The sequence below is a fragment of the Homo sapiens genome, chromosome 11, assembly GCF_000001405.40.
Source record: "Homo sapiens chromosome 11, GRCh38.p14 Primary Assembly".
NCBI classification, from domain to species: Eukaryota; Metazoa; Chordata; class Mammalia; order Primates; family Hominidae; genus Homo; species Homo sapiens.
The window spans coordinates 31,983,622-31,993,706 of NC_000011.10; the positions used below are offsets into that span (position 1 = coordinate 31,983,622).

Below are 10,085 nucleotides of genomic sequence, written 5' to 3' on the forward strand. Positions count from 1 at the left end.
CATTTGGGCATAGATTAAATAGAAAATTGAAGCTAGTTCTGTACTTAATCAGCAAAACACAGTAAGCATACTCCAAGCTTGAATTGCCTGCTGTCCAAGTCTTATCCAAAGCCCTGCTGAGAGAAGCACTATTCAGGGAGCATTATTTGAGGGACATGTGGTTCTATCTGTTCCTCCATAAAACCTGTTCAAAATTTCTGCATTCAGTGGAACCCTCAGAACCTATGTGGCCCCTCGAAGCACTGTTTTCAGTGAGGTCCAATTTTGTGCATTAAGGTGCCAGCTTGACTTATAGACGAAAACTGCACTAAGCTTACTGTAGGTCTTTTATAAGGGACATTACAATCTACATTTCTTAGTAGGTGAAACCCCGCATAACAAAATTCTGTTTATTCTAGGTTCAGAGAAAAGCTCATCATCCCTTGAGCAACTCAGCATCTCCTCACAGAAAATCGAATCATATAACGGGTTGTGTTTCCGTTTTCATTCTGGCTACTAGGGAGCTAAACGTTAGTTTTGAAGCTCAACTCCGGTAACTGTTTACACTGTCACCATCGGCACACCTGCATTCTAACGCTCTTCTTTAACTCTAGTATTTATTTTAATTTATACTTTTGTTTGATTTTAGTTTTTGCTGATGGTTTTTAGACTTTGTTTTAGTTTTTGCTAATGCTGGATTTTATTGCATGTCTAACATTGAAGAACACATATGGGATGTGAATTAAATAATAAACATCAAGAGTTACCGTGAAGACATTAACCATAAAAATGTGTGGGTATGGCCGGACAGAGGTATGGATAGGGAGTTAGGCTGGGCAGCCAGCAGCCTGATATATGTACATGAGTGTCACAATCTTCACTATCACCCAAAGGCAGAGTCACTACCTTCTTAACAGGTAGCACAGTGCTCTTCCCTGTCCTCAAAGCCCGAGGCTCCTATTTCCTCTAGCCTGAGGCTGTTGCCCTTCCTACCCCCCATAACTCCAGAAAATCCCTGGGGACAAATTGAAGCCACAGCATCTAGCTGTTTTCTGTGCTGCCCTCAGGCCACTTCCACTAAATCTCTCCCTCTTTTTTTTTTTTTTTTTTTTTTTTTTGTGAGATGGAGTCTCATTCTATTGCCCAAGCTGGAGTGCAGTGGCATGATCTCTGCTCACTGCAGCCTCTGTCTCCTGGGTTCTAGCGATTCTCCTGCCTCAGTCTCCTGAGTAGCTAGGATTACAGGTACCTGCCACCACACCCAGCTAATTTTTGGAGTTTTAGTAGAGATGGGGTTTCACCATGTTGGCCAGGATGCTCTTGAACTCCTGATGTCAAGTGACCTGCCTGCCTTGGCCTCCCAAAGTGCTGGGATTATGCCTCCCAGGTGTTGAGCCACCAGGCACAGCCCACTAAGTCTCTCTTTTGACCTGCACAGAGTCCTTCCTCTCCATGTCCACCAGCTGGAGGTGGATCCAGGAGGGTCTTCTCTGCATGGCTGCAGGTACCCTTGGAAGTTCCGGAAGATGTGAAGAGTAAAGTACAGTGGAACAGCCACTGCAATACACTCTGATATGTTTCATCCAATGGGGGTGGCATTTACTGAGACACAGGGCTGGGCACTGTGGGGTGATGCATAGAAGAGACAAGGCTCAGCCTCCAGGTGCTACTACCCTGCTAGCAGCACAGCCATGCAACCAACTGTGGGACCAAGAGTGTTGTCTGTTCTCAACTTATAATATGTTTAATGTTTTTTTTTTTAGCACTGGGTACTCTTCGTCCGACAAGATGTAGCAGATTCACTTTAGGAGATAAGAGCAGAGCTGTCCTGGTTGGGTGGACTAGGCTTTCAGGCTTGCCCAGCTAAATGTCTCTGTGCTTCCAGCTCCTCCACTTCTGGGTAAATAGAACCCTGAGGTCCCTCAGAGAACAGCCTGAAAACCATTAATATGGCAATGTATAGCAGTTAACTACCTGGGTTTGAATCCTAGCTTTGTTACTCACTAGCTCTTGATCCTGACAAAGTTACTTAACTTCTTGGACTCTCAGTTTCTTCATCTGCAAAATTGGGACAGAAATTATGCCTGTTTCATTGGGGTTGTGAGGTTTAAATGAGCTCATGCATATAAAGTACTCAACATTAATTTAGTGTTACTACTTAGTCAATAAGTAATGAGGACTCATAAGCTATAGCTATTAGTCTTATTAAGGACTTATTGCTATTAGTCTTGTCACTGAACTGAAAGAGTTACTGGATTCAGTAAATGAGGGAGCTCGAGCTCTGTCAATCTGAGACCTCTCAAAGAGGAGATAATTTTTCCAGTCAGGGAGATGGTGTAAAAGCAGCCACATGATCAAGCTGCAAGTCAAGTATCAACAAATTTAAGATACTTTTTTCTTTAATCACAAAAATATCACATTCGGATTTTTCAAAAAGCAATGAAAACTCTTCCACGATAAAATTTTGGCAGGGTGATCTTCAGCAGGCCATTTGACCCCCTGAGCCAGTTCCCTTTTCTGAAGAACAGAGGCAATGAACCTCTGTTCTCAGAGTTTTGGGGAGGCTCAAATGAGGCTTGAGAGTGCCAAGCATCCTCCGAGCTGTTTGTCATCGAGCCCCAAGGAGCCCTTGGCACCTAGTAGGCGTCAGTAAATATTTGTTGCATCTGAACTCTTTCCATCTGGGAAGCCCTCCAATGGCCTGGAATCTCCAGCTCTCCCGCTAAGCAGGTCAGAAAAGCAACTTAAAGGATCCATTTTAGTGTCCATTTTCTCACTTTTCCCCCTGAAAAACCACTTACAAAGCTGCCAGCTTCCTCATTTGGCTTTTTCTGGCCTGGTTTCATCTTATTAACGGTCACTTCATTCATCAGCATAAGGAAGACTCCACTCTGTCAACAGGAGGGCAGGGCTTGGCCTCCAGTCACAGGGCAATGGCGGGGGTGGAGGAGCCTGGAAACAGCCATAGCGTAGGCTTAATGAATAAAAAGTTGCGGTTGAGAAGGCCCAGGATTCCCAAACAGCCTTCCCTCCACCCCCAAACAGCTGATCATTGGATAGTGAGGAAGCAGGTGCTCCTTCAGAAAACTCTGTTCATTCATTCATTCATTCATTCATTCATTCATTTAACTACTCATTCATTCACAACTATTTCTCGAGTGCTTATTATGCACGGGGAATAGAATGCTGAACAGAAAAGCACACCCACTCCCTGCCCTCATGGAACTTACAGTTTGGGGGGAGGATCACTCACATTAATCAAATGATCCTCGCCATCTTTGGGGCTATGGTGCATTCCAGGGAGGCTTCCTGAGGAGATGACCCTGATCTAAGATCTAAAGGAGACCTTGGAGGAAACGGGCTGTGGGGATTGGGGAGATGGTTCAAAGAACATCATATGCAAAGGCCCTACAGAAGGAAGAACGTTTTTGGGACACAGACAAGCAAGATCGAGAAAGTTCACTTGCTTTTGATGGGACCCTCAGGCTGGAGACACGCTGGTCACCAAGTAGCGCCAGGTGCTCAGGCAGAAGTCAGCCGACTCTGGGTTCGAGTCCCAGCCCCACTGCTGGTCAGCTCCTTCTTATACCTCAGTTTTCCAGCTGTAAAATGGGACTAAGGCCATTCTTGTAGGCCAATGGTGAGGATGGGAAATACGCACGTCATTACCCGATGGGACGGTGCCAGCTCCCCTCGTCCACCGACGTGGGCCCGAGCTAGGGTTCTGAGCCGGATCCGGGGGGAACCGCGCGTCTAGGGCTGGAAACCCGCCGCCACAGCGGGCTAGAGGTCGTCCCCGCCCGCAACATATGCGCGAAGGAAAGTGCTACGAACGTCAAATGGCCGCCCCCCGCCGACGCCATCTGCTCTGCGAAGCAGAAACGGCGGCAGCTGCGCGCCCAGTCCCTCCGCCCGCGCCCCGCGCGCCGAGTCCGGATCCGCCGCCCGGCGGCACCGCGGACAGCGCCAGCCCCGGGGTGGCGGGCGCGGGGCTGGGGGCGCTGGGAAGAGGGGTCCGCTGTAAGGCCCTCCCGCCGCCTCGGGGCCAGTCTGGGTCTAGCCACTTCACCTGTGTGCTTGAAATGTCAGTTCTTTACCAGCCAGGCTGCCGTTTGTTTGGCTCCGCCCTCCGGGGGCAAACCAAAGCACGGATAACTGGTCCCTGAGACAGATAAACCTGGGTTCTAATAACAGCTCAAAAACCAACCAGCTGTGTGGTATTAGGGAAGTCGCTTGACTTCTCTGGACCTCTGTTTTGTCTTCTGTAAGATGGGTATAATAAGCGCTGTGCCCTAGGGTTGCTAGGAGGATTAAATAGAAAGTTCTATGTGAAGTGTTTAACACAATGCCTGGCACATAATAAAACATAACTGCTAGCTAATTATTTTATTCAAAGCTTACTTTTCTAGGGCTTTATGGTTACTCGCTGGGTTTCTGTGGCCCCTTAAAATTTCAGCTTGCTCCCCATCCCCACTCTCCTGCATTCTTCTTCAAACGTGGATGAACAGGCCCAAAGATGCTGCAGCTTTTTGGAACATTTCACCACAACATTGGGAAATCCCTGGATTCCCCACACTCTCCTGGTCCTGAAAGAGACTCAGTTTGCAAATGTCTTTTGATGTTGTCCAGAACCATCCGTTATAACAAAGGCCATTTTCAAAATGGTAAAAGTTCACGAAGGGACTGGCTAGAAGAGTGGCTGGTGGGAAGGCAGGGTGGTAACAGAAAGTAGACTGAGAACAGGGAAACAAGAAAATAAAGAGGCCGGAGGTAGGGAGGTGGCTGCATTCATTACATTAAAAGTGGATCATTCCAGGATTTCATCTCAAGCAAAGATAATCAGAAGGCATGGGCTTTCGTTAACATTTTACCACTTAGCATTTTGGCTATGCTACTTTAGGCAGTTGAGTTCACAAATGTTCACTGAGTGGCTGCTATGTGTCAGGCGCTGTGCTAGGCTCTGGGACTAAAAAAGTGACCAAACCTAGACTGTGCCTTCAGGAGTTGATGGCCCAGTGGGAATCAGACAAGCATGGGTGGAATGGTAGGGGGTGCCTCAGGGCCCCAAAGAGAGGCCTATCAACATTCTAGGGGTTTAGTGGGAGTCACCAAGCTTTACCACACCTCATTTTCCCATCTGAGGCTCCGGGCTCACAATCCCCACCTGCAAGGCTTATGATAAGTAGCAGCTGAGCCTTTCTTTACTCCTGGAACCTGACCACCTACCCTGCGCCCCACCCCAAAAGCTCAGCACTCTGCTCTCCTTCAGTAGCCAAGCAGCTGCCACAACCTTGAAGACTAAAAAGAGGAAAACAGGAGAAAACGTTATATACAGGAAATCATTGCACAGCACAAGAGATGTGTATTACAAACCCCGACGTCGAAGGTCACCTGCCATACTCCATGGTGCTTAGGGTGCTAAACAATATGAATGGAAGATGATGATGGGGGTGAAGAGAAAGTGAAGGGGAAGTGGAGGGGCAAGAGTGGAAGAGGAAGATTTGTCTTTTATGGAAGAGCTGCGTCATGTTTATTATTTTAACAAATGTGTGATTCAACAAATATGTACTAAGCATATATTCTTTGCAAGAAAGTGAACAGATCAAAGTCCCTACTCTCAGGAACTTATAGTTTCCTAGTGGGGCTTCAGAGTGCAATCAAGTAACCAAAACATATGAAGTGGTTGGTGATGAGTGCTCTGAAGGTGATAAAATAATAATAAAGGGTTAGGAGCAACAGTGACTGCTGATTTATGTGGCATCTGAGCATGTGAATCCTAATATTCGATAATTTTTTGTCTGAACCTAGCCATCCTTTTGGCAGGGGGGAAGCAAATTATTCATGTCTAACTCTGAGTAAATATGTTCAATTCACCTTAAATTTTCTAAAACAGTCTTCTATTAGAACATATAGGCAAAATGAGCCCTTAAAAAACACCCTTAAACCTGTTCAGATTCAACTAATACAACATGTCAATATAGATGCTTCTAGAGTCTTTTCTATGCATATACTATATATATTTATATATAATTTAAAAGGGATCATTACATACTGTGTTATAATAATATTCCATGATAAACTTTCCTTACTGGCAGACATATTTTGGCAATATTATCTTAAATAACTCTATATTATTCATTGTATCTGTGCATCACAATTTAATTAACTGATCCCCTATGATGGAGCATTATTTTAAATAATGCCACAATGAATCTCTAAATATTTGCCCACATCCCTAGTTAATTTCACACTCACAGAGTCCTAAGTGTCTTCCTGGAGACTTTGGGACACTCTCAGGCAACAGAGGAGCAGAGAAGCATGATGGTGTTTTTGAGGGGAAGAGGTATCACCTTTTGGGGCCATCTCCCTGCAAAATAGGTAGCCCAATTCCTTAAATTTTGGGGCTGCTTTTGGCTTAAGTCTAGCACCCAAGACTATTTTGCACTAGACAAGGTCAACTTTTTTTTTTTAATTGTCAATTGGCTCATTGTCTTTATTAAATTACTTATATAATACAACTTAAGGGACCCAGAAGTGTGCTGCAAGCCTCTTGGGGCCACCACTTTTAGTGTGTGTGATCTGGAGCAGTTGTCCAAGGTCTCTGAGGCTTGTTGTTCTCATTCATGAACTGGGGATGATAATAATATCCCTGTCTTACAAAGAGTTATTGCAAGGAGGAAATGAGATGATGTGCATGAATGTGCCTATGCTAAAGCAGGAGGCTGCTTTATTCACAATAGCTGATGTATGCCAGGACCTTTGCTAAACACTTTGCATATTTAATCCTCAAGAGAGCTCGGTGGGGTAGGTATTATCACATCCATTTTATAGATTTAGAAACCAAGGCTAGAGAGGGTAAATAACCTGCTGAGGAAATCGAACTGATATTTGCCATCAAATCTATCTGAATTCAAAGCCTGTGCCTCAAACACTACTCCATCCTGCCTCCCCAGCTACACTTTAATTGGGTTACCAATGCAATCCAAATGTTCCATTAGCACTTTAGTATCCAAATCCCCATTACCGTAAGCCTCCACCAACTCATGTTATAAGTCCCGACCCCTGAGGCATTCGCCTCCCCTACTATTTCTGGATCTCTTACCAAGGACTGAAATGACTTTACCCAAATTAGTGCATGCTGCTATGTCTAGTCAAGTTGGTCTTCTAGAACCACCGTCCACAACAGGCCCATGGTGAGCTGGAATGTCCCACTGCCACTCAATTGTTGTAGCAGGTCTCTGGCAGTGTCTCGATGCCAAGGGGCAAGGATCCTGCTCTTGCTACTCCCATGTTGTAGATTACTCCCCAGTTACCCCTATTTGCAAAATGAGTAAGATTACCCTTGGTTTGCGTTATGTTCAGTTGAGGAAGGCAGAGATACTGCAGGAGGTAGAAGCATAAAGCAAGGGCTCAGTAAGTTTTCTACTTTTTTGAAGCTCTTTTTACTTTTTTCCTCCTGACTCAACTTTTGCCCCTCCCACTGTACCCTAAGCAGCCACCACATTTGTGTAGGTCATGCTGGAACCATGTTTCTACCAGCAGCTGGTAGGTAAACCTCCAATGTAAGCTGAAACTCTGTTGAAGTTTGACCTGGCCAATAATGTTTTCAGGAGATGGCTGGAGATGGTGTGGCTAAGTTAGAATGGGAATCCCACCGTGGGGGCTCCCAAGCATCCCAGAGTTGAGGGAGACCCTTTAAACAGTACACTTGTCATGGATCTTTCTCTTAGGGAACAGACATTCTGCCAAGATGGCTAAGTCAGAATGAGTTCTGATGTCAGCAGTTACCCTGAAAGCATCAGTCCCTCTGATCTTTAAGCTACTTGCTAAATATGACTCCATCATGAAAGATTTAGCCAATCAACAGGTCCATCGAATGCCTACTCTGTGTCAGGTGCTATTCCACTATTCTAGGAACTAAGATACAGTGGCAAAGAACATAGACACAGTTTCTCACTCAAGAAACCTAGAGACACCAGCTTTCCTTATGAAGGATTCTCCCTCTGTGCCTCTAATGTCTTTTCTGGCAACTTGGCTTCCATTAGAGCCCCTATAAATCTATCAGATATATATCTGTGTATCTCATAATCCCAGCTGTGGACCAAATTCCAGTTCTTTTTCTCTGAAGGAACTTGGCTCTCACTATACTTAAGGCCAGGGACTCTGGAGTCATACTGTCTGTGTTCAATCCTGACCATGCTCCTCACTTATTACTGACCTTGGACAAGCTACTTAACCTTCCGTGCCTTGGTTTCCTCATTTGCAAAAGGGGGTAATAATAATAGTTAACACTATCAAGTGTCTACCATATATGCCAGGCACTGTTCCAAGTGCTTTAGATGTATTAACTCAAGATTCTCACAACAACCCTATACAGTAGGCCCTATTAATACTCCATTTTACAGACAGGAAACTGAAAGACAGAAATGTCAAGCAATTGACAACCATGGAATAAATCTTATAAGATCTTTTAAGGATTTAAACAAAGGACACAGCAAGTGGCCAATGAATTGCTATTGCTATCATTATGAATGACAATTTTAAGTGAAAAAAGTAGGATACTAAGTACTAGACAGAGGCAAATTTTAACTGTGAAGAAAAGCACATAGAAAAATCTAGAAGGAAATATATTAAAATACTAACAGTGGTTGCCTGAGGAATAGTTAGATGAGTATAGGTGACGTTTTTCATACTTCTCAGGACTTTTTTGTTTTGTTTTTTCAAGACAGGGCCTCGCTCTGTCACCTAGGCTGGAGTACAGTGGCACAATCATGGCTCACTGCAACCTTGACCTCCCAGGCTCAAGTAATCCTCCCACCTCAGCCTCCCAAATAGACTACAGGCGTGCACCACCATGCCAAGCTAAATTTTGTATTTTTTTTGTAGAAACGGGGTTTTGCCATGTTGCTCAGGCTGGTCTTGAACTCCTGGGCTCAAGCAATTCACCCACCTCAGCCCCACAAAGTGTTGGGATCACAGGCGTGAGCCACTTCACCTGGCCAAAAATTTTTTTTAAATAAAAGCTTTCCAAATCTTTTACTATAAGTACATATTTCTTTAACGTTCACGAAAAATAGTGCCAGAAAACCTTGGAGAAAATAAACTCCAAAGCTGCTCCTCTGGCCTAATTTTTTCAGGGGCCATTCCTGTTGCCCCTGGTGACAACTTTATATTCTCCTATTTGAGGGTTCTAGACTCTGTGGCATTCCCAAGGCCATCTGACTTGGTGACCCCCATTCAGGGATAGGAGGAGGCCTTCATGCATCCTGCACTTCCCCAGTGAATTGCAGATCCCATTACTCACTTAGCTTCATTATATCTTTAATTATGACCTTTTAGTCTGAATGAAAAAGAAGTATAATTTTGCTTTAAGAGATATGCCAGGCCTACGCTCCCAACATTTCTAGGTTTCATAGAAATTGCAGCGATCATAGAAATTTAACCTGATAATTACTGCAATATTTCAAGGCACACGGTTTCCTACTCTCTTAGAATAATTATGGGTTGTTGTTTTTTTCTCCCAAATTCTTTTATTTCTTCATTATTAAAGGTTATACTAGTTTCCATTGTATGTGCCTAGAGACATAGGAAAATGCAGGGCATCCTTATCCACTCTGGTTCATAGCACCCTATTGTGAAAATATGTTGTCCTTTTATTTTCCCCTGTTATTATTTCTCTTAGACTATAAGCTTTATGTGGGCCAGGAAAACATGTATTTGGCTCACTCTGCTTACAGCGCCTAAAATGGGACTTAGTACACAGCAGGCATGCTGTAAGTATCTGTTAAATGAATGCCCAGACAAATACATTTAGAAACAGATAAACTAATTGCATTTGTGAATTGTAAAGCAACCTTGGTGTCATCAAACTCCTGTTGAGAGTCCGCTCCGGAAAGAAAGCATGGGTCCACAAAGCTACAAAGAAATGATTGCAGCCAGAGGGGTTTCAGAATTCAGGAAGTCCAAATTTTATAAAGAATATCTAATTTAATTTCCCAGCAGCAATTGGGACAGAACCTCACGATCAAACAAGCAAACTGATATATTTTTCTGTGAAAATGTATGAGTATTTACATCAAATGGGACAAATAAAAACTAGAAGTAAC

At 44.1% G+C, this 10,085-nt stretch overlaps 1 annotated feature.

Moving 5' to 3' along the window:
* Nucleotides 3,327-3,827: an enhancer, noted in NCBI's record as "H3K4me1 hESC enhancer chr11:32008494-32008994 (GRCh37/hg19 assembly coordinates)". NCBI's record gives its function as "activates a minimal SCP1, AML or CMV promoter by ChIP-STARR-seq in naive H9 embryonic stem cells {active_cell/tissue: H9 hESC(naive)}" and the evidence as "EXISTENCE:reporter gene assay evidence [ECO:0000049][PMID:30033119]".